Consider the following 26,309-nt stretch of genomic DNA (forward strand, 5'->3'; position numbering starts at 1 on the left):
TCACCTCCCATCGTTTTTGCTCCTGCTTTCACCATGTGACATGCCTGCTCCCACTTCAGCTTCTGCCAAGAGTAAAAGGTCCCTGAGGCCTCCCCAGATGCTGGTGCCATGCTTGTACTGTCTGTAGAGTCATGAGCCAATGAAACCTCTTTTCTTTTTTTTTTTTTTTTTTAAGACTAAGTTTCACTCTTGTTGCCCAGGCTGCAGTGCAATGGCACAATCTCGGCTCACTGCAACCTCTGCCTCCCAGGTTCAAGTGATTCTCCTGCCTCAGCCTCCCAAGTAGCTGGGATTACAGATGCCTGCCACCACACCCGGCTAATTTTTGTATATTTAGTAGAGACGGGGTTTCGCCATGTTGACCAGGCTGGTCTTGAACTTCTGACTTCAGGTGATCCACCCGCCTCAGCCTCCCGAAGTGCTGGGATTACAGGCGTGAGCCACCGCACCTGGCCGAAACCTCTTTTCTTTATAAATTACCCAGCCTCAGGTATTTCTTTATAGCAACACAAGAATGGCCTAACACAAGAGGCAAAATCAGCTTAGTGATACATGTGGAACAATGAAATTAATCTGTAATCAGTCCTTTGACATTTCAGGACATAACACTACACTATTTTATCATTAGTAATCAAGCACTGCAATAAGTATGGAAGACCAAAGGGTCCACTTCCCGCTGAGTTTCCTGGAAGTGTCTTCCCATGAAACTGTTGGGGACATGACTCACTTATAGAGCAAGCTGGGGGCCCTCAAAGTAGACCGGAATCCTTGTGGGGTCTGCTCCACCTCGTAGGCATCACAGGGCTCATCAGCACACTCCATGGAGCCTGCACAGAAACCATCACATCTCACTCAGAAACAATGTTGCTCTGTGGACAACAGCTTTCGCCTCAGCTGTCAACCGCTGTTGAGGTTTAAAAAAAGCAATACACAGGCATAAAGAACAGCCGGACACTGTACATTCCATGACACTGCTCTGATACTCCTTCTGACCCGATCGTATAGGAAATAAACCTTAAAAAAACACATAATGACTATTTTAAATCTTTCAGTCTTGGAACCCTGGGAAGGTAGCATATGCATACGGTAGTTCCCCCCATCTGTGGTTTCGCTTTCCAAGGTTTCAATTACTTGCAGTTAACTGCTGTCCAAAACTATTACTACAATAAGATACTGGATATGAGACAGAGAGACCACATTCACATCACTTTTATTACAATGTATTGTTATAATTGTTCTATTTTGTTAGTTATTGTTATTAATCTCTTACTGTGCCTGATTAATAAACTAAACTTTATCAAAGGTTTCTATATACAGTTGGCCCTCCATATCCAGGGATTCTCCATCTGTGGATTCAACCAACTGCAGATTGAAAATATTTGAAAAAAAAATCCAGCCTGGGCAACAAAGTAAAACCCCCTCATCTCTACAAAGATTAGCTGGGCATGATGGTACATGCCTGTAAGTCCCCACTACTCAGGAAGATGATGTGGGAGAATCATTTGAGCCCGGGAGGTGAGGCTGCAGTGAACCAAGGTCGTGCCACTGCACTCCAGAATGCGCTTGTCTCTTAAAAAAAAAATTACGGCTGGGCACGGTGACTCATGCCTGTAATCCCAGCATCCTGGCTATCACAGTGAAACCCCGTCTCTACTAAAAATATAAAAAATTAGCCAGGCATGGTGGTGTGCACCTGTAGTCCCAGCTACTCAGGAGGCTGAGGCTGGAGAATGGCGTGAATCCGGGAGGCAGAGCTTGCAGTGAGCCGAGATCGCGCCACTGCACTCCAGCCTGGGTGACAAAGCAAGACTCCGCCTCAAAAAAAAAAATTACTTGGAAAAAAGTCAGTAAAATAACAATACAGCAATAAAAATAATAAAAATTAAACAACAATACAGGCCGGTCATGGTGGCTCATGCCTGTAATCTCAGCACTTTGGGAGGCCAAGGCAAGAGGATCACCCGAAGTCAGGAGTTTGAGGCCACCCTGGCCAACATGGTGAAACACTATCTCAACTAAAAATACAAAAATTAGCCAGGTGTGGTGGCAGGCACCTGTAGTCCCAGCTACTGGGGAAGCTGAGGCAGGAGAATTGCTTGAACCCAGGAGGTAGAGGCTGCAGAGAGCCCAAATCACTATCTCAACTAAAAATACAAAAATTAGCCAGGTGTGGTGGCAGGCACCTGTAGTTCCAGCTACTGGGGAAGATGAGGCAGGAGAATTGCTTGAACCCGGGAGGTAGAGGTTGCAGAGAGCCCAGATCACGCCACTGCACTCCAGCCTGGGTGACAAGAGCAAAACTCTGTCTCAAAAATTAATAATAATAAATAAAAAATAAAAAACAATACAGTACCACAACTATTTACAGAGCATTTGCATTGTATTAGGTATTATATGTATCATAAGACAGGATTTAAAGTAGGATGTGTGTAGATTACATGCAAAAACCACGATGTTCTACAAAAGGGACATGACCATCTGAGGATTTTGGTAACATTATTGGGCAATGGACTAAATACATACGTTCATTTATTTCAAAAATTTATACATAATTACTTTAGGGCCAAGTGCGGTAGCTCATGCCTGTAATCCCAGCACTTTGAGAGGCCAAGGCAGGTGGATCACTTGAGGTCAGGAGTTTGAGACTAGCCTGGCCAACATGGTGAAACCCTGTCTCTACTAAAAATACAAAAATTAGCTGGGCATCCTGGCACATGGCTGTAATCCCAGCTACTCAGGAGGCTGAGGCACCAGAATCACTTGAACCTGGGAGGCGGAGGCTGCAGTGAGTGGAGATCACATTACTGCATTCCAGCCTAGGTGACAGAGCAAGACTCCATCTCAAATAATAATAATATTATTAATAATAATAATTACAACTCTACAACGGAACTTAATTTTGTCATAGAATATTAATGGTTAATATTAACAACTAAAATTTCTCTATGATATTTAAACCTCTGTACAAAGAAGAAACATAACTTATAAATTGCAACCAAAAACACTTCAGCTAAACTCAAACTCATCAGTACCCTTAGACATGAACATAAATGGAGCTATATGAGGCCAAACATCTCAAATTTCAGTGCTGACACAGAAACACATTAAAACAAACAAAAAATTGATCCTACAATACACAGGACATTTTACTTCTTATCTGACCAAAGAGCAACTAGGATTACCTTGATAGAAGTCCTCTTCATCTTCTTCATGTTGATAGGTCTGTTCTTGGACTGGATTCTTCCTGTAATTCCGGCCATCAATTCTTATAAGCTGTGGACGCAGAACTTCCATGACACTTTCTCCAAATGATATTCCAATTATGCCCTGAAAAATATAATTACCATCTTACCTTTCTTAGTGAGAATTAAAACTCCTATCTCTAGTGTCTGAACCATTATGCAGGTCTGAATTGGGCATCAGTTCACAGTATCTCCCACACAAAAGCAGCACCATTTCCCATTGGATTTCCCATCTGTAAACCAGTTTAGGTTAATTGCTGCATTTTCTACCACACTGGCTCACTCTAGACAGCAAAGTAATTTGTAAACTATTTATCACCCCCCCCCCAAAAATGATTAAAAGGCATACACTCTTAAAAAAAAAAAAAAAAGAAGGAAGGGAGGGGAGCAGTGGTTCACATCTGTAATCCCAGCACTTTGGGAGGCCAAGGTGGGAGGATTGGTTGAGGCTGGAGTTCAAGATCAGCCTTATGAACATAGTGAGACCTCGTCTCTAAAAAAAGAAAAAGAGGGCCAGGTGTGGTGGCTCACACCTGTAATCCCAGCACTTTGGGAGGCCGAGGCAGGCAGATCACAAGGTCAGGAGTTCAAGACCAGCCTGACCAACATAGTGAAACCCCATCTCTACTAAAAATACAAAAATTAGCTAGGCATGGTGGCACGTGCCTGTAATCCCAGCTACTCGGGAGGCTGAGGCAGGAGAATCTCTTGAACCCAGGAGGCGGAAGTTGCAGTGAGCTAAGATCGCGCCACTGCACTCCAGCCTGGGCAACAGAGCACAACTCCGTCTTAAAAAAAGAAAAAGAAAAAGAGAAAGAGAAAAGGGCCAGGCATGGTGGCTTACACCTGTACTCCCAGCACTTTGGGAGGTTGAGGAAGGAGGACTGCTTGAGCCCAAGAGTTTGAAACCAGCCTGGGCAACATGGCGAAACCCTGTCTCTCAAAAAACAACAACAACAACAAAAAAAAGAGAGATTAAAAATAAAAGGCATTATAAATGCCCGTATATAAACACAGCCTGTCCATGGCTTTGAAAGAGAGAATAAAGGTCTCTTTATTACTTTAACCTAATGAGTAAAATGCAAACTTCAGTGGTTATCTAACCATTTGCACAATATCTCTTTTTTTTTTTTTTTTTTTTTTTTTGAGACGGTGTATTGCTCTTGTTGCCCAGGCTGGAGTGCAATGACACAATCTCAGCTCACTGCAACCTCTGCCTCCCGGGTTTAAGCGATTCTCCTGCCTCAGCCTTCCCAGTTGCTGGAATTACAGGCCCCTGCCACCACCCCCGGCTAATTTTTTGTATTTTTAGTAGAGATGGGGTTTCGTCATGTTGGCCAGGCTGGTCTGGAACTCCTGGCCTCAGGTGATCCACCCGCCTCAGTCTCCCAAAGTGCTGGGATTACAGGCGTGAGCCACTGCGCCCAGCAAACTCTTTCTATCTAGCAAGATAATTAAGACAATGAGGGATATTTAATACACTTAACCATCCAGAAAAAAAAAAGCCCCTAAGTACTTTTAGAGGTGCTAGAAATTCATACCAAACAATCAGTTCCAGTTGTCTGTTAAAGCACAGTTAAAATAACAACTTAACCAATATGGTTCTCAGACCAACATACTGCTGAAGGGGGGAATCCAATTTCCACAGGCCACTGCCCAACAAAATGCACATCGCTCACTGCGAAGCCAAGCTTCTGGTCACATCACTTAATGAATCAATAATTTAGGAAACAAAGGTTCCTTACAGGCTAGCTGAGGTTAAATTCAACCAATATTCCTACCACGTACAGCTTAGATAGTCTTGAAGCCCAAAATACTTAAAAGTTCCAAAGAAAACAAGTTGATCCTTACTAAATACACTAATGTTCAAGCCAACGTGGGCGCGGTGGCTCACGTCTGTAATCCCAGCACTTTAGGAGGCCGAGGCGGATCATCTGAGGCCAGGAGTTCGAGACCAGCCAGGCCAACATGATGAAACCCCGTCTCTACTGAAAATACAGAAAGTAGCCGGGTGTGGTGGCGGGCGCCTGTAGTCCCAACTACTGGGAAAGCTGAGGCACGAGAATGGCTTAAGCCTGAGAGGCGGAGGTTGCAGTGAGCTGAGATCGCGCCACTGCACTCCAGCCTGGGCGACAGAGCGAGACTTCGTCTCAAAAAAATAAATAAAATAATAATTGATGAGTTGTGCGCTTACAGAACCAAGAAGAGGTTTCGTGAGAAATAACAACACAGAAGGTAAACCGACATGGATGGAGGAAAAGGGCACATCATTAGCAATACTCGATGACATCACAACCCAGTGGCCTATTCCCCGAGGCCTCTAAAGTTCTCAACGAAAAAAGACTTTCAAAGGAAAAGCTTAAAAAAAAAATGTTCCCCACAAAAACAGACTAAGATGAAAGTCGGGCCCTCAGACCACGAGCTCCGGAAGAACAGGCAGTTGTCGCGGAGACAGCAAATGCAGCATCTACCTGTCCTACATGGCCCTGCGCTACGAGACTGCTCGGAAGGAAAGAGAGGAATAACCAACTTAACCCTGCTTCGAGGTGGTTTGGAGAGGAAGAGGAAAGCTGTGTCTTTCTGCAATATCGTGAGGGAAGCCGAGGCCCTGAATCATCAAAGAGAAGGAGAAGAGGACTAGGCGGCTGCAGGTAAACCAAGGTAGGGCGAGGAGGAGGACCCGGAATTCCTCTACGCGAGCGCGTTCTCTGCTCCCCTCCTCGCGTCTCCGCCCCGGCCACGCCCACCACGGCACGGGCGCGCGCACGCCGCCTTCGCCGCTGGCTCCGTCTGTTGGGGGGCGAACACGCCGCGGTCCTCGTCGTGGTGAGCGCAGCCACTCAGGCTGGTCCTGGGGGTGGGGCTGTAGGGGAAAGTGCTAAAGCCGCTGAGGTAAGAGGCCGAGGGGTCGAGGGCCCTCGGGAGCTTGGTGAAAAGGGAGTTAACCCCCAGGATCCTACCTGCAGGGACTAGAAAAATGGAGAAGGTAGGAGGAGAAACAGGAGACTGCTGCAGCAGACGTGCGATAGGAAATTTCCCCAGGCCGGGTTTGACCGAGTGCGCATGCGGGCCGAGGGCTGGCGCCTGCGCAGTGGGACAGCGCCGATGGCGTAGTTTCCTGGGGACCCAGCTGGGTGGGAAAAGTGGCTAGGAGTTAGCTTGGGAGCCGCTGGTGTTCTGAGCGCTCCCCTCTCTGGCCACTTTTTCTCCACGCCCACCCCCGCCCCGTTCCCGCCCCCCCCCCCCCCCGTTACAGCTGCGGCATCTATTTGGTTTGGGTTGTAATCCAGCTGTTTTGAAGTGGAACGATTTGTTGATGATGGAATTTAATGATTACTTGTAATAATTTGCCTTTGTACTAGGGTAGGAACTTTTAAGGAATTACTCTTTTTAAGAAAATAGGCATATATCTGTTAGAAAGGAAAGGAATTTATATTCATAAATATATGAATGCGAGGTCATCCCTGCCGTACATGAAGTAAATGTTTAAGCATCTTAGCTCGGACACAGCAATCTGTGTCCACAAAGCATCGTTACTCTCCTGTGAGGATCTCCACTGTCAGCCCCAACTTACCTGACAGGGCCAAGTCCCAGGATACTTCATCATCAGTATTTGTTTGACAAAATTTTACTGGGCACCTCCGGTGGGCCTGGCAAACTGGTTGAAGATAGAGTTGTGCGAATAGATCTGCACAATGAGAAAGAAAAAAATCCATAATGATCCAATACTCATGACACAGCGCTTCTCTATCTCCTGCATGACCTTTGCTGAGCTGCTCGCCCTGCGTTCTGTCGTTTGTTCATCATTCATTCATCCGAAATGCTCGGGACTGGAAGCACAGTGGAAACACTGCCCCAGGTTCTGTGCTCGGCATTGAGGGTAGAAAGACTTTTCGAAGGTGGCAGGGTGTTTCTTAAGATCATTGAACCTTAAAATGAAAGTGTAGGCCGGGCGCGGTGGCTCACGTCTGTAATCCTAGCACTTTGGGAGGCCGAGGCGGGCGGATCACGAGGTCAGGAGATCGAGACCATCCTGGCTAACACGGTGAAACCCCGTCTCTCCTAAAAAATACAAAAAATTAGCCGGGTGTGGTGGCGGGCGCCTGTAGTCCCAGCTACTCGGGAGGCTGAGGCGGGAGAATGGCGTGAACCCAGGAGGCAGAGCTTGCAGTGAGCCGAGATCGCGCCACTGCACTTCAGCCTGGGTGACAGCGAGAATCCGTCTCAAAAAAAAAAAAAAAAGGAAAGTGTAAAGTGCTTAATAGAAGGCACTGGCCCTCCTCCTGAACAGATTCTTTCTCCTGTGGGAGCTTGCTGACTCTGTTAGATGGAGAGAATTAATACTTTTCCCATGAGGTTTTTTCATAGTAAGTATGAAAACCTGGGATCTGCATAGGAAAAAAGACTCAGTAGTAACTCTCCGTTAATGACTTTGAATAGCCAAGATTTATGAAGTGTTTACTAAGCCTGTAACTGTTCCAAGTGTTTTACGTGTATTAACTAATCTTTGTCACACCTGTGTGAGGTAGGTGCCGTTATTACAGGTTGAGTATCCTTAATCCAGAAATCCAAAATCCTCCAAAATTTAAAACTTTTTGAGCACTGACAGGATGGTCAAAGGAAATGCTAATTGGAGCATTTTGAATTTTAGATTTTCGGATTTGAGAGGCTTAATCATTAAGTATAATGCAAATATCCCAAAACCTGAAAAAAAAATCCGAAATCCAGAATACTTCCAAGTCCCAAGCATTTCGGATGAAGGGTACTCAACCTGTTTCCCATTTTGCAGATAAGACAACTAAGGAACAAAAAGATCCCGGAGGGGGAGGCGGAGGTTGCAGTGAGCCAAGATCGTGCCATTGCACTCTAGCCTGGGCAACAAGAGTGAAACTCTGTCTCAAAAAAAAAAAAAAAAAAAAATATATATATATATATATATATATATATATATATATATATATATATATATATATGCCGGAGGTTGCAATTTTTTACATTTTTGGCATCAGACCTTGGCGATGACCTTGAGCAGTAGGGTATAAATAACTCCCACATGCTTAGCGTTCCAGTAATGGAACACTAGGCATAAATGGGTTAAATGATGTGTCCACAGTCATGCAGCAAGTAAGTAGCAAAACCAGAACTCAGAGAGGCTTCATAATCTTACCCATTATGCTGCTTTACGTTGCACATGACAAATAACATACCAACAAGCCATTGCTTCAAAATGTCACAGCAGATAAGCTAAAATTGTCTCTACACCTCAGTTTTATTTTTTCATATATAAAATGGGGAAGTTGGGTTAGATGACCTTTAAGGAATCTGTGGTTTCTGTGAAATATTTAATTCACTCAGCAAACATTTACTGAAGTGAACAACTACTTCCTTACTATAGGCCAGGTGTTATGTTTGGTTCTGGTGATCAGTTAATTCCTGCCCTGAGAGCAGTTACCATCTAGGGTTTATTAGTTTTGCTTTACTCTCATTTACCACTTGCTGGTAGCATTCAAAATTTAACCTAAATCTTTAGAGCTAGAAATTACTTAGGTATATCCTTCCACCTCAGCAGAAAACTGCTTATTTAAAGTTAGCTTTATGCTAATTCTGTGCTCCAGTTTTCAACCCTGGCTGTTTTGTGTGTGGAACGATAGTAGTTCTGAGAGTTTGGAAGAAAACAGGATGAAAGGGAGTTCGTTTGATTATATTCAGCTTAGAAGTCACACTGTGGCTACCTTTTGAAGCTGTCCTCACTCTGGCAGTTGCTTGGGTGCTCTGCTCAGCACCTGACTTCAAAATATAAAGTATAAAGCATTTGCAACTGAATAGAGCATTTATCAGGGTGTAGGTAAAATAGATTAGAGTTTTAAATCTTAGGTGAGATATATAAACAGTTCACCGTGGGTTCTACTCTGAACTGATGGGAAATAAAGACTGAGCTGCTCTCCAAAAGATGGCTAAGTTGTCTGTATACTTTATTTGAATCCCACCAGGAATTCACTTAGAGATTTGGACCTGGTCCCTTACTGCTTAAGTTCAAAAACAATTCAAAAACTTGTCAGGCTGTATTTTGACCCAGTGTAGTCCGGAAGATTGGATATTAATCTAACTCCCAAAGTTGTTGCCTCTGTGGATATGAGTACAATTTGGAAAGTTATCAGAGCTCAGAGAAAAGAGGAAGAGTGATCTAATAACAAGATTGAAAATGTCAGCTGAGCAGAGTGGCTCAGGCCTGTAATCCCAGCATTTTGGGAGGCTGAGGTGGGAGGATCACTTGAGCCCAGGAATTGGAGACCCGCCTGAGCAACATAGTGAGACTTCCTCTCTACAAAAAATAAACAAAATTAGTGGGGTGTTCTGGCACGTGCCTGTAGTCCCAACTACTCGGGAGACTGAGGTGAGAGGATAACTTGTACCCAGGAGGTCAAGGCTGGAGTTAGCCAGGATAGTGCCACTGCATTCCAGCCTGGGAAACATAGCGACACTCTGTCTCCAAACAAAATAAAAAATAAAATGTCATTAATCAATTTGCATTTTTGCTGACAGTCTAGTTATAATAGCTGTTTTACCGTTCCCATACCCCACTTCACTATTAATCAGTGTTACTTATAGACATGTAATGAAATCAGAAACCAAGCTCTGCTTCTCTAACAGCCTTAAATCTTCATCACAAAATTAAGCAAACAGAACAGCCAGTATTTCAAGACATACTATATCATTTTCCTTACTAGGAATCTGGATTTTATGTATATAAATTTATATTTGTATTTCATTTCCTCACTTTTTTCTGTTTTCAAAAAACATGGCCAGGTGCAGTGGCTCACGCCTGTAATCCCAGCACTTTGGGAGGCCAAGGCAGGTGGATCACCTGAGGTCGGGAGTTCAAGACCAGCCTGACCAACATGGAGAAACCCCATCTCTACTAGAAATACAAAATTAGCCAGGCATGGTGGTGCATGCCTGTAATCCCAGCTACTCGGGAGGCTGAAGCAGGAGAATCGCTTAAATCCGGGAGGCAGAGGTTGCTGTGAGCCGAGATCGCGCCATTTCCAGCCTGGGCAACAAGAGGGAAACTCCGTCTCAAAAAAAAAAAAAAAAAAGAAGAGAAAAGAAAACATAAGTTTCAGCCAGGCATGGTGGGTCACACCTGTAATCCCAACACTTTGGGAGGCCAGGGTGGGAGAACTGCTTGAGCCCAGGAGTTCATACCAGTCTAGGGGCAACATGGTGAGAAGTTGTCTCTACTAAAAGTAAAAAGAATTAGCTGGGCATGGTGGCATGCACCTGAGGTCAGGTCCCAGCGACTTGGGAGGTTGAGAGGTTGGAGGATTGCTTGAGCCCAGGAGATGAGGCTGCAATAGCATGATCACGCCGCTGCACTTCAGCCTGGGTGACAGAGCGAGAGCCTGCCTCAAAAAACAAATATGTTTCAACTTTTTTATAATAAATATGTTCATTTTGCAACTAGCAAAAAAAAAAAAAAAAAAAACCCGAAAGAAAAATACTCAGGCTGGTCTAGGTGAAGTGGTGTTTACAGTAACTGATCACCACCAGTTACAGATTTCTTTGTTCCTTTTCCACTCCCACTGCTTCACGTGACTGGCCAGAAAAAAAAAAAAAAACTCAGCTAAAATTCTCTCTGACCATTATAGAGGGAAATTCATTTTACAATCCTTTTTTCTCCCCCGCCAAGATGGAGTTTCGCTCTTGTTGCCCAAGCTGGAGTGCAATGGCGCTATCTCGGCTCACTGCAACCTCCACCTCCCGAGTTCAAGCTATTCTCCTGCCTCAGCCTTCCAAGTAGCTGGGATTACAGGCGCCTGCCACCACGCCCAGCTCATTTTTGTATTTTAATAGAGATGGAGTTTCGCCATGTTTACCAGGCTAGTCTTGAACTCCTGACCTCAGGTGATCTGCCCACCTTGGCCTCCCAAAGTGCTGGCATTACAGGCGTTAGCCACCAGCCTGCAATCCTTTTTGAAGTCCTTTCTTTTAATTGGGCTAAAATTCACATAACATAAAATTAACCATTTGCCATTTTAAAGTATACAATTCAATATAAAGTTATTTTTAATCTAAATACTAGAAATTTATCCATTACAACAGCCAATAGCCACATGTGGCTACTTAAATTTTAATTAATATTAAATAAAATTTAAAATACAGTTCTTCAGTCACACCAGTTTATAGGTGCAACATGAAGCTACTGGCAACCATATTGTGCAGTGCAGAAATAGAACACTGGAACATTTCCATCATGGCAGAAAGTTCTATTAGCATGGCACTAGACCATTTTTTCTTTTCTTTTTTTTTTTTTTTTTTTTTTTGAGACAGAGTCTGGCTCTGTCACCCAGACTGGAGTGCAATGGAATGATCTCAGCTCACTGCAACCTCCGCCTCCCAGGTTCAGGTTCAAGTGATTCTCCTGCCTCAGTCTCCTGAGTAGCTGAGACTACAGGCGCCCACCACCACACCCAGCTAAATTTTTTTTTTTTTTTTTTTTTGAGACAGAGTCTCACTCTTTTGCCCAGGCTGGAGTGCAATGGTGCAGTCTTGGCTTACTGCAACCACTGCCTCCCAGGTTCAAGCGATTCTCCTGCCTCAGCCTCTCAAGTAGCTGGGATTACAGGCACGCACCACCATGCCCAGCTAATTTTTGTATTTTTAGTAGAGATTGGGTTTCACCATGTTGGCCAGGCTGGTCTTGAACTCCTGACCTCGTGATCCACCCGCCTCGGCCTCCCAAAGTGCTGGGATTACAGGTGTGAGCCACCGCACCCGGCCATTTTTTCTTTAAAAAATACTAAATACACTTGTTAGAGGGCTGAGCGCAGTGAGACTTTGGGAGACCACGGTGGGAGAATCACTTGAGACCAGGAGTTAAAGACCAGACTGGCCGGGCATGATGGCTCATGCCTGTAATCCCAGCACTTTGGGAGGCCGAGGCAGGCAGATCACGAGGTCAAGAGATGGAGACCATCCTGGCCAACATGGCGAAACCCTGTCTCAACTAAAAATACAAAAATTAGCTGGGCGTGGTGGCACGCGCCTGTAGTCCCAGCTACTCAGGAGGTTGAGGCAGGAGAATCGCTTGAACCTGGGAGGCAGAGGTTGCAGTGAGCAGAGATCGCGCCACTGCACTCCAGCCTGCCAACAGAGCGAGACTCCGTAAATAAATACATACATACATACCAGACTGAGCAACATAGCAAGACCTTGTCTCTATTTAAAAAAAAAAAAAAAAGGAAAGAGGCCAGGCGCAGTGGCTCATGCCTGTAATCCCAGCACTTTGGGAGGCCAAGGCAGGCAAATCACCTGAGGTCAGGAGTTTGAGACCAGCATGGCCAACGTGGTGAAACCCCGTGCCTACTAAAAATACAAAAATTAGCTGGGCATGGTGGCTCATGCCTGTAATTCCAGCTACTCAGGAGGCTGAGACAGGAGAATCGCTTGAACCTAGGAGACGGAGGTTGCGGTGAGCCGATATCATGCCACTGCACTCTAGCGTGGGCGACAAGAGCGAGACTCCGTCTCAAAAAATTAAAAAAGGAAAGAAAGAAAATACCATATACACTTTTTAGAATTTTTGTTAAAGTCGTGTAAGCTTCTGTGGCAAAGGGAGGGTTTTGTTTTGAACTTTTGTAAGGTGTCATGTATTCAGTACAGTTTTCTCGTTAACATTTGCATTTTTTGGTATGAAATAGGATTAAACACTCACAGGTAGGTGCTCTGTTCATAATAGGCCATGGTTTCCAAGATTGTTTCCTGAACTTTTTGTTCCAGTTTTGGGATGCCACCAAGTGATAAGTTTGGGTATTACATTTAGATGAAAAGGTTAATTTTTTTTTTTTTTTTTTTTTTTTTTTGAGAGTCCCGCTCTGTCGCCCAGGCTCACTGCAACCTCCGCCTCCCGGGTTCAAATGATTCTCTTGCCTCAGCCTCCTGAGTAGCTGGGATGAGAGGCGTCCACCACCACGCCCTGCTAAATTTTTTTGTATTTTTAGTAGAGACAGAGTTTCGCCATGTTGGCCAGGCTGGTCTTGAACTCCTGGCCTCAGGTGACCTATCCGTCTCGGCCTCCCAAAGTGCTGGAATTACAGGCGTGAGCCACCGTGCCTGGCCAAAAGGTTAATTTTTAATGAGAAAGCCAATATGTATTTCCTAACTAGTTCCCCTTCCCTGGGAACAGAACACAGTGTTATTCTGGAATGTTATTTGGAAAATATTATAATTTATTGTTGTGGCTTGATCAGGATGTATCCAAGAAAAACTGTCCTATGAAGTGTGATGCTTTTATCCTCGTATAACTTATTTCCTCTGTCAAATTTCTGCCTTGGCACTGCCATATCACCCCTTCATAACTCATAAATCACCCACAGTCAATCTTAGTTGACATAAACAGTTCGCTAATGGTAGGAATTCATGTTTTAAGTAGATATACTATTCTTAAGCATATTTTCAGTTCAAAACCTGACTGATATTTTGGCCTGAGACATCAATAAAATATTGTGAAAGTAGAGAGCATAGAAAAAAGGGGAGCTAACTCTTTACAAAACTGTATGCTGGCCCTTACAGCAGCTAGAATGAAATGTTGTCACTCTCACTTCCATAAACTTGCCAATTGCTGTTTTTCTTTCTCTGTAGTGAAGTAAGAACTCTGCTAGAGAGGAAATGGCTGCTTCATCATCATCCTCCTCAGCTGGTGGGGTCAGTGGAAGTTCTGTCACTGGATCTGGTTTCAGTGTCTCAGACCTTGCCCCACCACGGAAAGCCCTTTTCACCTACCCCAAAGGAGCTGGAGAGATGTTAGAAGGTGATCTCATGCTGCTTTCTGAATAATTGGATTCAGATCTGCAATGCATATTAATTGTAAAGAAGCTATTAAGTGGATTAAAGATGAGTTTGCCCTGATTTCAGCTCCACATTTCATTTCTTGTCCCCATCTCAAAATAGTATCTTTAAAAACAAGTCTTGCTCCAGAATCAGAATTTTGGAGCTGAAAAGGACTTTGGAAATCAATGAAGTCATCTAGAGTTATTTAGATCCAGAAAAGTTAAGTGATTTGACCAGGTTAAAGGCAGAGTCAGGGCTGGGCACGGTGGCTCACTCCTGTTATCCCAGCACTTTGGGAGACTGAGGCAGGTGGATCACTTGAGGCCAAGAGTTTGAGAGCAGCCTGGCCAACATGGTGAAACCCCATTTCTACTAAAAATACAAAAATTAGCCGGGCATGGTGGTAGGCGCCTGTAATCCCGGCTACTGGGGAGGCTGAGGCAGGAGAATCACTTGAACCTGGGAGGTAGAAGTTGCCATGTGCCGAGATCTCGCCACTGCACTCCAGCCTGGGTGACAGAATGAGACTCTGTCTCAAAAAAAAAAAAAAACGCAGAGGCAGCACTGAATCCAGGAATTCTCTTGACCTCCTACTCCAGTTTGCTTTATCCTGGCACCTGTCTACCTCCCATGGTAGTAGGTTTGATGTATTTTTTTCTAGGGTGATTAATCTACGGATAGATTCACCCTGTCAGAAAGGTTCTAAGAGGGAATAAAAGCTAATACATTGCCCTTTTGTGTGAACATGACTCCTGACCCACTGCAGCATGATGCCGTGTGGTTCTTATAGCACCAAAGCCAGATTTGCATCAAATCATTCACCATCTTGTTCAGCATCATTGGCTGACTGGCTGGCCAAGATCAGGGTACAGGCTGTAAGCATGTCATTTGAAGAGCAAAGAGGTTACTTAAAATGCACATTTCTGGCCAGGCACTGTAGCTCATGCCTGTAATTCTAGCACTTTGGGAGGCCAAGGCGGGTGGATCACCTGAGGTCAGGAGTTCGAGACCAGCCTGCCCAACATGGTGAAACCCCATCTCTACTAAAAATACAAAAACTAGCTGGGCATGGTGGCGATGTCTGTAATCCCAGCTAATCGGGAGGCTGAGGCAGGAGAATCACTTGAACCCAGAAGGCAGAGGTTTTAGTGAGCCAATATTGTGCCACTGCACTCCAGCCTGGGTGACAGAGCAAGACTCTGTCTCAAAAATATATATAAATAAATAAATAAAATGCATATTTCTGGGCCCACCTTAGAGTTTCTGAATTAGTCTAGGGTGTAGCTCAGGAGTCCATTTTTTACCAGCATCCAGGCCCTTCTCATGAAGGCAGTCTTCCATATTTTGAAAAACATTGGGACCAGGAGTGGTGGCTCAAACCTAAAATTTCAGCATTTTGGGAAGCCAAGGCATGAGGATTGTTTGAGCCCAGGAGTTCAAGGTTGCATTGAGCCATGATCATGCCATGGCACTCCAGCCTGGGTGACAGAATGAGACTCTGTCTCAAAAAATAGTAATAATAAATTTTTAAAAAGCACTGGGAGGCCAGGCGCAGTAACTCACGCCTGTAATCCCAGCACTTCTGGAGGCCAAGGCAGGCAGATCACAAGGTCAGGAGATTGAGACCATCTTGGCTAACATGGTGAAACCCCGTCTCTACTAAAAATACAAAAAAATTAGCTGGATGTGGTGGCGCATGCCTGTAGTCCAGCTACTCAGGAGGCTGAGGCAGGAGAATCACTTGAATCTGGGAGGCAGAGGTTGCGGTGAGCAGATATCATGCCACTGTACTCCAGGCTGGTGACAGAGCAAGACTCTGTCTCAAAAAAAAAAAGCAAAAAAAAAGCTTTGGGGAATAACCTATTAAGGATTCAAAATTTACTTGATTCTAGTATTTTAGTGCTTAATTATATATTGATCTTTTTTCCTTTAAGTGTTGCAATTTTTTTTTTTTTTTGAGACAGAGTCTCGCTCTGTTGCCCAGGCTGTAGTGCAGTGGCTCGATCTTGGCTCACTACAACCTCTGCCTCCCGGGTTCAAGTGATTCTCCTGCCCCAGCCTCCCAAGCAGCTGGGATTACAGGTGCCCACCACCACACCTGGCTAATTTTTTTAATATTTTTAATAGAGGCAGGGTTTCGCCATGTTGCCCAGGCTGAGCTTGAACTCCTGACCTCAAATGATCTGCCCACCTCAGCCTCCCAAAGTGCTATGATTACAGGCATGAACCACCGCACCTGGCCTTAATATTTCAAATTTACACAACTATATTTTAAAACTAATCTAGGAATATCTGTGAGAAAGATACAAACTATAGGCCAGGCATAGTGACTCACACCTGTAATCCCAGCACTTTGGGAGGCTGAGGCAGGCAGATTGCTTGAACCCAGGAGTTTGAGACCAGCCTGGGCAACATGACGAAATCCTGTCTCTAGAAAAAATAGAAAATTAGCTGGGTGTGGTGGCACGTGGCTGTAGTCCCAGCTACTTAGGAAGGTGAGGTGGGAGGTTCACCTGAGCCTGGGAGGTGGAGGCTGCAGTGAGCTGTGATCGCATCACTGCATTCGAGCCTGGGTGATGGAGACCTTGTCTCAAAAAAAAAAAAAGAAAAGAAAAGATACAAACTATAGTTGGCCTTGGGGGTGATGAATAATCAGAAATAATAAAAAGAGTTACGGGTTAAGCCCAAAATCATTTGTGACAGGAAACCACGGGGGGACTCTGGGACCATAGAGCTCCCTAGGATTGGTTTGGGTTATGACTAGTGGTGAGGTAGATGACCAGGTAGCATATGTAATTAGTGATACATGTACTTCTCTCTTTGCCTTTTTATTTTCTTTAATTGTGTTAACTAAATACTCAAGTTAGTATCACTGAGTCTGGTTAGAAGTAGTGAACAATTGGGGCCCTGTTACCATATTTGGTGCTAAAACTATATTATGACTTCATTTATATGCAGCAAAGACCTAGTATTAAGGAAGTTTCCCACAAAACAAATCAAAAATGGGAGACACTTAAATTGCTTAATGAGTTTTATAGCAGCAGAAGAATCCATATTCAACAATGGAGCTCTAAGATTAAAGTCATTTAAATTCTAGCTATAAGAGGAATTTAATACAGGAGGTACCTCCACAGTCTCAAAGCTATCAGCATTCTTTGTCAGTATACATCAAATTATGTGGAGATATTGAAGAAGAAAGGCTTCTGAGATTAGTCTGAATGTTGATGTTCTAACGAGTTATAGATCTATCCATTTTTATTCCATCTCAATATGCTTCATGGAGAAATGTGTTGTGTTTCTGTTGTAGGATACATTTATATTAAGTATAAATACACAGTGCACAGTTTTGATTGTGTTTCTTACATTTCAAGTTTTACCAATAATCTTAAATCTTAAAAAGATTAAGATAATCTTTAAAAATCTAAAATCTTAAGAATATAAAGAGTATTACACTTAAAGACTGAAAAATAATGTAGAGATGGCAACCCCTAAACCCATTTAATATTCTTGGTCAAATCAAGAATATTAAATTGAGAAGAGTACTCTGAAATGTAAGGATGTTGGATTTGGAAGCATTTTCTACCATGTTTATAGGTGATACTATTCTATTATACAATAAATCTAACACACATGTACCTGACCAATAATAGTTTAATAGAATATGAAAATAGAGGCCGGGCACGGTGCCTCACGCCTGTAATCCCAGCACTTTGGGAGGCCGAGGTGGGCGGATCACCTGAGGTCAGGAGTTCGAGACCAGCCTGACCAATATGGTGAAACCCCACCTCTACTAAAAATACAAAAAAAAAAAAAAAAAGGCATCGTGGTGTGTGCCTATAGTCCCAGCTACTCAGGAGGCTGAGAGAATTGCTTGAACCCAGGAGGCGGAGGTTGCAGTGAGCCGAGATCATGCCACTGCCCCCCAGCCTGGGCGACAGAGCGAGACTTGGTTTAAAAAAAAAAAAAAAGGATATGAAAATAGAGCAGGAAGGGTTGCCTGTCAAGAGTAAGGAACAAAAGCAGTTAGGAATCAAGGATGGATGCTGTTTTTAATCTCAAAAGGTTCAACTTGATGTTACATCCTTGTGAGTCTAGGATAGTAAACCCAAATCACCTGTAGTTAACCTTGTGAATTAACTTTTTTGTGCCTCTGCTCTCTGATAACAGACACCTCACATAAGCAGCATACAGCAGTTTGCAGCATTCTCCTGCCCTTGGCCAAAATTGTCCTCACCCAGTTATTACTGAGCACATTAGAAACTGCCTTCCAGCCCATCAGTGGCTGTATTTTAGAGACATTGTAGCCACTGAAGTATAAATTATCTGGCATTGTCTAATTGCCTACTGTGAGGTAATATTCTTTTTAATGTATTTGTTACCATCCTTATTTATTGGAGTTGGCTATGGTGTTAGATTTGGGTAATTTACTAAACTTTTCCCTGTTTATGACCTGTGCTTGTCCCTGACAAGGAAAGCTGATGTATTGCTACCTGCTGTGTTACAAAGGGTTTGATTACAGTTTCTAAATGGAAGAGATTGCCCCCAGCTGACTCCGTTCTGGAGCAATTCCAGGCTTTAGACTGGTACTGATACCACATCTAATAGGATGTGGCTAAGAAGCAATTGGACTTGGACGTTAATAGGGAGCTGCAAATCAGCAAAAGTGTGTTCCACAGGCATATAGTGTGGTGGAGTGAAATGCAGAGGTTCCTTTTTGAAAGTTTAGCTTATATCCTTTTGCTTTGAAGTTCATTACCAAGGAAAATATGCAAATATCACAACTTAACTATTTTATCCTAATGGTGCCTGTGATTAAATGCAAGTGAGAGGTGGCACTTTCAGGAGCTTCCATATACATCTTGGCCTGATCCTTATAGCCTATAATTCCCACTGCCTTGTGTGTAATCCTAAAGTTCAGGATCAAACCATCTGGGAGGTAAACTCTAATTGTCTATGCTTTCCTCTTTCTAAAATAAAATATGAGTTATAATTGGACTTTTTAAGCAAGAATATGAATAGGATAATGACTGCTGACATTCAAACCCCTTTTTTTTTTGAGACTGAGTTTGAATTTACAGAATGTAACACTGTCTCTGAAGAATACAAAAAGTATACATCCCAATAATTATACTTTCATTTTTTTCTTTTTCTCTTTTTTTTTTTTTTTTGATCACTTTGAAGATGATATTGGAAGGATGCCCTCTTGGTTATATATTCAAGCTCTTTGGATACAGTATCTATAGTTGTTTTTTTTTTTAATTGGTTATTGTGACTTCTGAAATAAGGTTTCCTTTGTGTGAAACTCAGCATGAGGCCAGAATGTGTTAGTCCTGTCTGCTTGCCATGTAATACCTGGCCAACACAACAACCCATGATTGATGGGTGAATGCTTGAGGCCTAGTAGTGCTAACGTGAAGTACTGCCTGAAAAAGGACAGCTGTGTCCTCTCTCCCCGTTTGTTTTAGGATTTTCGCAATAAGGTACATCCCCCAAATGGTTTCTGCTACCTTTTTAAAAATCAAATGTTTCTACGTGAGCTGTAAATTTTTGAGAATATGTTTTGCTGTATCAGCCCTTGCCTGACAAGGAATAACATGAACTAGCTTATGTTTCATGATCATCTTCCAAGTGCTGTGGCAACTGAGTTGGCCACTTCTTGTTGGCAGTTCTTGGCACCAGTACAATTCTAGGTTCTGAACTTGCACCATACTCTTATCGTCATCCAAATTGCAGTGTTTTGGTTCAGTTGGAAAATCAAGGTTACAGTTTGCGTTCACAGAATGAAATTTCCCAGCAGTGTTCTGTGATTGTCAGAGTGATGTAATTTGATATATTAAAAATCAACAATTTTTTCCTCAGCTTTGTTTTTTAGACTGAAAATGATTTGGAGTTTTGGTGAACCTTTATATTTTGACACTACAGGAGCCAGCCACAAGGCCAAATGTGTCAGCTGCCAGTGTTTGCTTGACATACAGGAGAACATTAAGGAACTCTCAGGTTGGGAGGAGGGAAGTGTTGACCAGGACATCAGACGGAGGTTTCTTGTTTTTGTTTTTTTAAACACTATTTTTAAACTCTTAAGTAGAGGGACTATTTTAATATTCTAGGTATAGAATAAATAGCTTTTATAACAGTCTTAGTTCTAAATGAAGCAGAACCCGTCTTTGTAAACACTGAGAACTAGACCCTGAATGTACAAGCAGGGAAAAGAATAGACAAGTTTACTTGGTTTATCAGAAGCCATAAAACCTTTAGAGCAGATTAAAACCTTTTCTCCTTTTGTTTGTAGATGGCTCTGAGAGATTCCTCTGCGAATCTGTTTTTAGCTATCAAGTGGCATCCACGCTTAAACAGGTGAAACATGGTAAGCACATGAGTGTTGCGTACTTGACTGTGAGAATAAATTTGCTAGGGGGTGGATGAGGCTGTGACAAAAATCCCCAAACTCAGCAAGGCTATTTTAGTGGACTTCCTAAATTAAAGAACATTCTAGGTCTTAATCTAGTCATAATGTCCACATTGAGGCTTAAGGTTGGGGCCGAGTGCAGTGGCTCACGTTTGTAATCCCAGCACTTTGGGAGGCTGAGGCGGGTGGATCACTTGAGGTCAGGAGTTTGAGACCAGCCTGGCCAACATGGTGAAACTGCATCTCTACAAAGAAAAAATTAGTCAGGCATGGTGGCGCATACCTGTAGTCCCAGCTACTTGGGAGGCTGAGGTGGGAAGATCACTTGAGCCCGGGAGGTTGAGGCTGCAATGAGCCGGAATCACAGCACTGCACTCTAGCCTGTGCAACAGAGACCCTGTCTGAAAAACAAAAAAAGTTGGTCCTCCAGGGAGTCAGTGCTTCCTGCTCCTCTTGTGTTACTTTTTCCTCTCCTGTCTGAAACCTCCTTTTACTGTTGTCCTCCACTGGTTACCATCATCATCTTCAAGTATTTGTACGATACCTCCTGGTCTGTCTATACTCTAACATCCTGATAACACTTTTTCTGTTACATTAGGCCTCACCAGGCCTTCATTTCTGCATCAACAAACTGTGTTCCCCCTCCAGACCATTTCTCCATTGAAACTTTATGTAGGGGGAAAAGCTGTAATTGCCTCTAACCCTAGGATTTTAGTCCACAAATCACTATGGCATAGAGGATGAGTACTTTTTTTAGGAACAGAGCACATCCAGGCCGGGTGCAGTAGCTCATGCCTCTAATCCCAGCACGTTGGGAGGCTGAAGCAGGAAGACTGCTTGAGCCCAGGAGTTCAAGACTGACCTGGGCAACATGGTGAAACCCCATATCTAAAAAAAGAAAATACAAAAATTAGTGGAGAATGGTGGTGCATGCCTGTGGTCCCAGCTACGTGGGAGGCTGAGTTGGGACGATCGCTTCAGCCCAGGAGGCATACTCCAGCCTTGGTGACAGAGTGAGACCCTGTCTCTGGAAAAAAATAGGGCACATCCTGAAAATGTGATCATTTTATTTTAAAATGACTTTTATTTTTTGAGACGGAGTCTCTCACTGTCACCCGGGCTGGAGTGCAATGGCATGATCGCGGCTCACTGCAACCTTTGCCTCCTGGGTTCAAGTGATTCTCCTTCCTCAGCCTCACAAATAGCTGGGACTACAGGTGCACGCCACCACGCCCAGCTAATTTTTGTATTTTTAGTAGAGATGGGGTTTCACCATGTTGGCCAGGATGGTCTTGATCTCTTGACCTTGTGATCCGCCTGCCTTGGCATCCCAAAGTGCTTGGATTACAGGCATGAGCCACTGCGCCCAGCCTTTCTTCTTTTAACATTAGAAGAAACTTCCAACTTAAAAAAAAAAAAATAGGCCGGGCACGGTGGCTCATGCCTATAATCCCAACAATTTGGGAGGCTGACACGGGCGGATCACCTGAGGTCGGGAGTTCGAGACTGGCCTGACCAACATGGAGAAACCCCATCTCTACTAAAAATACAAAATTAGCCAGGCATGGTGGCATATGCCTGTAATTCCAGCTACTCGGGAGGCTGAGGCAGCAGAATCGCTTGGACCCAGGAGACAGAGGTTGCAGTGAGCTGAGATCACACCATTGCACTCCAGCCTGGGCAATAAGGGTGAAACTCTGTCTCAAAAAAAAAAAAAAAAAAAAAAAAAAATTAAGCTTCTGACCAGCATAGAATAAGACCCCATTATGAGAATTTTGAGGGTCGGGCACAGTGGCTCACGTCTGTAATCCCAGCACTTTGGGAGGCTGAGGCAGGCAGATCACCTGAGGTCAGGAGTTCGAGACTAGCCTGGCCAACATGGTGAAACCCCATCTCTACAAAAATAAAAAACTTAGCTGGGCACGATGGCGGGTGCCTGTAGTCCCAGCTACTCAGGAGGCTGAGGCGGGAGAATCACTTGAACCCACGAGGCAGAGGTTTCAGTGAGCCGAGATCGCGCCATTGCACTGCAGCCTGGGCAACAAAGCAAGACTCCATTCCCCACCCCCACCCCACCCCCCAAAAAAAGAGAGAGAATCTTGAGGAGAAAAAAAAATCCATCTAGAAATTTTTTTTTTTTGAGACGGATTCTCACTCTGTCACCAGGCTGGAATGCAGTGGCACGATCTCGGCTCACTGCAACCTCTGCCTCCAGGGTTCAAGCGATTCTCCTGCCTCAGCCTCCCGAGTAGCTGGGACTACAGGCGCATGCCACCACGTCCAGCTAATTTTTTTTGTATTTTTATAGAGATGGGGTTTCACCATATTGGCCAGGATGGTCTCGATCTCTTGACCTCGTGATCCGCCCGCCTCGGCCTCCCAAAGTGCTGGGATTATAGGCGTGATCCACCACACCCGGCCTAGAAATTATTTTTATACCAGTCATCATCTTGGTGGCTGGTGGCAGTCTCTTGGGTAATACGTTGTTGCATAATATTCTTTCCTTGACTCCTTACAGATCAGCAAGTTGCTCGGATGGAAAAACTAGCTGGTTTGGTAGAAGAGCTGGAGGCTGACGAGTGGCGGTTTAAGCCCATCGAGCAGCTGCTGGGATTCACCCCCTCTTCAGGTTGATACTGCCTGGATGGTCACCTCTGGTGCGCAGCAAGTGCAAAGCCAGTGGGGGACTTTCTCACAGCTTACATAGCCATCCAGAGATCCACAGCTACGTCACTGAATTGTTAATGCACATTTGTACTTGGTTTCTCTGTATCTATTCACAGGCAACAAATACTTATATGTGTGATCTTTCAGGGAATGTTTTGTTTATTTGTTTTTAAAAGTATTGGGAATCAGATTAAGACAATCAGTTTCAGAGAACCAGGAGGTTTGGGGTTAAGAGATACTCAAAAATTTTCACAAGCCAAGTAGGGCATATATCAGATTTGGCCAACTGAATGGCGTCTGTCCTGTCATCCATATGGTGCCTGGAAATATTTACCAGTCAAGGTCAAGGTCAGCATCTGTGGTTAAAAATATAGCATTCTGACCTAAAAAAGTTATTTTGCAGATGAATGTGTTTTCAACTCAGGACCTATCCAAATGAGGAATTTTTAAATATTCTTTTTTTTTTCCTATTTTTAGACATCAATTCTATAGATTCTGACTTTTTCTAACCTCTTATAGACATGCCAAATGCTGGCAAAAAGAAGTGCTTTTTGGATATGGCAGCACTTGTAAAAATAAAGCAGTAAGCAAAATCCTTTTAAACACAGAAATCCTGAGTTCTTCTCATTGGTGGACTCAAGCAATTCTGTAGCAAATAAATCCTTTGAAAGAGCTCCAAATTGGTGGCATTATCCTTTCAAAATCTCAGGGATTTGGGATGAAGTGAAGAGGTCAAATTACTTTTTAGAAGAAGGGAATCTAAAAACCATCTCTCCTAAACAAATGGTAGACTGGCTTTACTTAAGGGATATTTGTCTTTATAGGAGTACATAAATTTATCTTAATGATATTTAAGTAGTTTTTTTTTTTTTTTGAGACGAAGTTTTGCTCTTGTTGCCCAGGCTGTATCGCAATGGCGCGATCTCTGCTCACTGCAACATCCACCTCCCAGGTTCAAGCAATTCTCCTGCCTCAGCCTCCCAAGTAGCTGGGATTACAGGCACCCGCCACCACACCCAGCTAATTTTTTGTATATTTAGTAGAGACGGGGTTTCACCATGTTGACCAGGCTAGTCTCGAACTTCTGACCTCAGGTGATCCACCTGCCTCAGCCTCCCAAATTGCTGGGATTACAGGCGTGAGCCACCTTGCCCAGCCAATTTTTTTTTAAAGAGACATGGTCTTGCTATGTTGCCCAGGTTGGTCTTGAACTCCTGGCCTCAAGAGATCCCCCCAACCTTGGCCTCCAAAGTGCTGGGATTACAGGCATGAGCCACCGCGCCTGGCCTCAAGTAAGTTTTTATACCATGATAGGGGAAAACCTGGAAGGCTAAGAGATGTGCTGTTTTCCTTCATGGGACCCCACTTTCCACAGTAAACAACTGGTATAATCATTTATTACGTTGTATGCAAATTTTGCCTTAGACAACATTTGTCTGGTTCCTTATTAATAACTTGCATCTGATCTGCTTAGAGTTGCTTAATTATAAGTAAATATAATCCCAGTAGCATTTAGCCTTAATCTCAAGAGTTCAAAATGTTTAACACATTCTACCTGACGGGAGGTGGTGACCTCATTCAGTCGGTTAAGAGCCTGAGCCCTGTGAAGTTAAACACCTGCTCATGGTCACATAGCCCAGGCAGAAGAAAATCTCGGACTTGGAATAGATCCCAGTTGCCTGATAATTCATCTCATTATTGCCTCTAAAGCAAATTGGAGACTGGGCACAGTGGCTCCCACCTTTAATCCCAGCACCTGGGGAGGCTGAGGTGAGTGGATCACTAGAGGTCAGGAGTTCAAGACCAGTCTGGCCGACATGGTGAAACTCAGTCTCTATTGAAAATACAAAAATTAGCTCAGTGTGGTGGCACACACTTGTAATCCCAGCTACTCAGGAGGCTGAGGCATGAGAATCGCTTAAACCCAGGAGGCGGAGGTTGCAGTGAGCTGAGATCACACCATTGCACTCTAGTCTGGGTGACAGAGCGAGACTCTGTCTCAAAAAAAAAAAAATAAAGCCGGGCGTGGTGGCTCACGCCTGTAATCCCGGCACTTTGGGAGGCTGAGGCAGGCGGATTGCCTGAGATCGGGAGTTCGAGACCAGCCTGGCCAACATGGTGAAACCTTGTCTCTACTAAAACTACAAAAAAAATTAGCCAGGCGTGGTGGCGGGCGCCTGTAATCCCAGCTACTCAGGAGGCTGAGGCAGCAGAATCGTTTGAACCCGGGAGGCGGAGGTTGCAGTGAGTGGAGATCGTGCCTGTGTGCTCCAGCCTGAGCAACAAGAGCGAAACTGTCTCAAAAAAAAGAAGAAAATAAATAAATAAAAATCAGAGCACAAGAAGTACCAGTCCACCAACTCACATTTTCTATATTAATAATTCTTAACTAAAAGAAGTTCCATATTCGACAGCATTTTAGTTTTTTAATAGTACTTATTAGCATCAACCATCTTGATAATCACCAAGGGAAAAATTAAAAATACCTAGACTGCAATAAACCTTTAAATTGGATTTTCAGTGAGAATTTAGAAGCAATCACTACCTTTCTCGTTTCATTTGTGTAACCATGCAGCATAGGCACTGTGTTACATCATCTTTACGCTTTGGTATTTGAACTTATTACAGAATTTTTTCTCTAAATTGGATGTTTCTTTATATGACCTTGGAAACTGAAGTGATCTTAGCATTAAACAAAAATGCTTTTTGAAGCACCTTTCTCATTGATCACTTAGCTGCTATTTTAGTCTTACCAAGAATAAGACTCTCACAATTTTTTAAAGAGAGTACCTCCCTCTCTATACCTTTTTGTCAGTCATTATGTTGCATCGTCCACAACGCCTGTTACTATGCTTTGGGCTCAAAGATGGTCCCAGTTGCTGATCTGTCATCTGTCTTCTCTTGTGCCAGTCACTCACAGGCATGAATTATAATCCTCTGAATAACACAGCAAGATACGTAATACCCCCTAATATAGAAAAGGAACTTGAAGCTCAGAGCAAGTGTCACTTGCCAAGGCTGCACAGCTAAGTCAATGGCCAAATCTGGATTTAAGTTCAACTCAGCCAGAATCCAAAGCAGCTTCTTTTAGATTCACTATGCCACATCCCACCAAACCCAACCCAGCACATTGTATTAGGAAAAATCCTAAAACTTTTGATTAA

General features: G+C 43.7%; 2 protein-coding genes across 47 annotated transcripts in view, besides 7 other annotated features; one reads left to right on the forward strand and one right to left on the reverse strand.

The window, feature by feature from the left end:
* Positions 1 to 7,130, reverse strand: part of ASCC1 (activating signal cointegrator 1 complex subunit 1) — a 121,103-nt gene extending 113,973 nt beyond the window's left edge. For 10 of the 38 annotated variants that reach the window (NR_045564.1, XM_047425261.1, NM_001369099.1 and 7 more), the window contains exons 1-3: positions 6,817 to 7,130; positions 3,183 to 3,327; positions 728 to 827 (exon numbers count right to left, since the gene is read on the reverse strand). Coding sequence is in view for 37 of the 38 variants with exons in the window: in XM_047425261.1 (XP_047281217.1) it covers positions 728 to 827; positions 3,183 to 3,327; positions 6,817 to 6,849 (278 nt within the window). In the remaining variant the exon portion in view is untranslated. Of the gene's footprint in view, positions 1 to 727; positions 828 to 2,183; positions 2,282 to 3,182; positions 3,348 to 5,772; positions 6,106 to 6,202; positions 6,273 to 6,816 lie in introns of those variants that run through there. The other 28 variants (NM_001369112.1, NM_001369108.1, NM_001369103.1 and 25 more) reach the window with 8 other exon arrangements.
* Positions 3,509 to 4,010: an enhancer, noted in NCBI's record as "H3K27ac hESC enhancer chr10:73973271-73973772 (GRCh37/hg19 assembly coordinates)". NCBI's record gives its function as "activates a minimal SCP1, AML or CMV promoter by ChIP-STARR-seq in primed H9 embryonic stem cells {active_cell/tissue: H9 hESC(primed)}" and the evidence as "EXISTENCE:reporter gene assay evidence [ECO:0000049][PMID:30033119]".
* Positions 4,011 to 4,510: an enhancer, noted in NCBI's record as "H3K27ac hESC enhancer chr10:73973773-73974272 (GRCh37/hg19 assembly coordinates)". NCBI's record gives its function as "activates a minimal SCP1, AML or CMV promoter by ChIP-STARR-seq in primed H9 embryonic stem cells {active_cell/tissue: H9 hESC(primed)}" and the evidence as "EXISTENCE:reporter gene assay evidence [ECO:0000049][PMID:30033119]".
* Positions 5,670 to 5,789: an enhancer, noted in NCBI's record as "active region_3528". NCBI's record gives its function as "activates an Ori minimal core promoter by ATAC-STARR-seq in GM12878 lymphoblastoid cells {active_cell/tissue: GM12878}" and the evidence as "EXISTENCE:reporter gene assay evidence [ECO:0000049][PMID:35858748]".
* Positions 5,670 to 6,688: a biological region, named in NCBI's record as "NANOG-H3K27ac-H3K4me1 hESC enhancer GRCh37_chr10:73975455-73976450".
* Positions 5,693 to 6,688: an enhancer, noted in NCBI's record as "NANOG-H3K27ac-H3K4me1 hESC enhancer chr10:73975455-73976450 (GRCh37/hg19 assembly coordinates)". NCBI's record gives its function as "activates a minimal SCP1, AML or CMV promoter by ChIP-STARR-seq in naive H9 embryonic stem cells {active_cell/tissue: H9 hESC(naive)}" and the evidence as "EXISTENCE:reporter gene assay evidence [ECO:0000049][PMID:30033119]".
* Positions 5,910 to 6,099: a silencer, noted in NCBI's record as "silent region_2469". NCBI's record gives its function as "represses an Ori minimal core promoter by ATAC-STARR-seq in GM12878 lymphoblastoid cells {active_cell/tissue: GM12878}" and the evidence as "EXISTENCE:reporter gene assay evidence [ECO:0000049][PMID:35858748]".
* Positions 6,008 to 25,856, forward strand: ANAPC16 (anaphase promoting complex subunit 16). 9 transcript variants are annotated; one of them, NM_001242546.2, is made up of 5 exons: positions 6,008 to 6,134; positions 10,050 to 10,375; positions 13,884 to 14,052; positions 20,362 to 20,436; positions 22,997 to 25,856. In NM_001242546.2, the coding sequence occupies exons 3-5, from the start codon at positions 13,911 to 13,913 to the stop codon at positions 23,110 to 23,112; spliced, it is 333 nt and encodes a 110-aa protein (NP_001229475.1). In that variant the 5' UTR covers positions 6,008 to 6,134; positions 10,050 to 10,375; positions 13,884 to 13,910; the 3' UTR covers positions 23,113 to 25,856. The 9 variants fall into 9 exon arrangements, 7 of the variants coding, with proteins under 7 accessions (NP_001229475.1, XP_047280536.1, XP_047280538.1 ...); XM_047424580.1 differs by having other exon boundaries at positions 10,056 to 10,375; XM_047424582.1 differs by having other exon boundaries at positions 6,008 to 6,068.
* Positions 7,268 to 7,809: an enhancer, noted in NCBI's record as "H3K4me1 hESC enhancer chr10:73977030-73977571 (GRCh37/hg19 assembly coordinates)". NCBI's record gives its function as "activates a minimal SCP1, AML or CMV promoter by ChIP-STARR-seq in primed H9 embryonic stem cells {active_cell/tissue: H9 hESC(primed)}" and the evidence as "EXISTENCE:reporter gene assay evidence [ECO:0000049][PMID:30033119]".
* Positions 25,857 to 26,309: the final 453 nt, after the last annotated feature.

This window comes from Homo sapiens, chromosome 10 (genome assembly GCF_000001405.40).
Source record: "Homo sapiens chromosome 10, GRCh38.p14 Primary Assembly".
In the NCBI taxonomy this organism is placed as follows: Eukaryota; Metazoa; Chordata; class Mammalia; order Primates; family Hominidae; genus Homo; species Homo sapiens.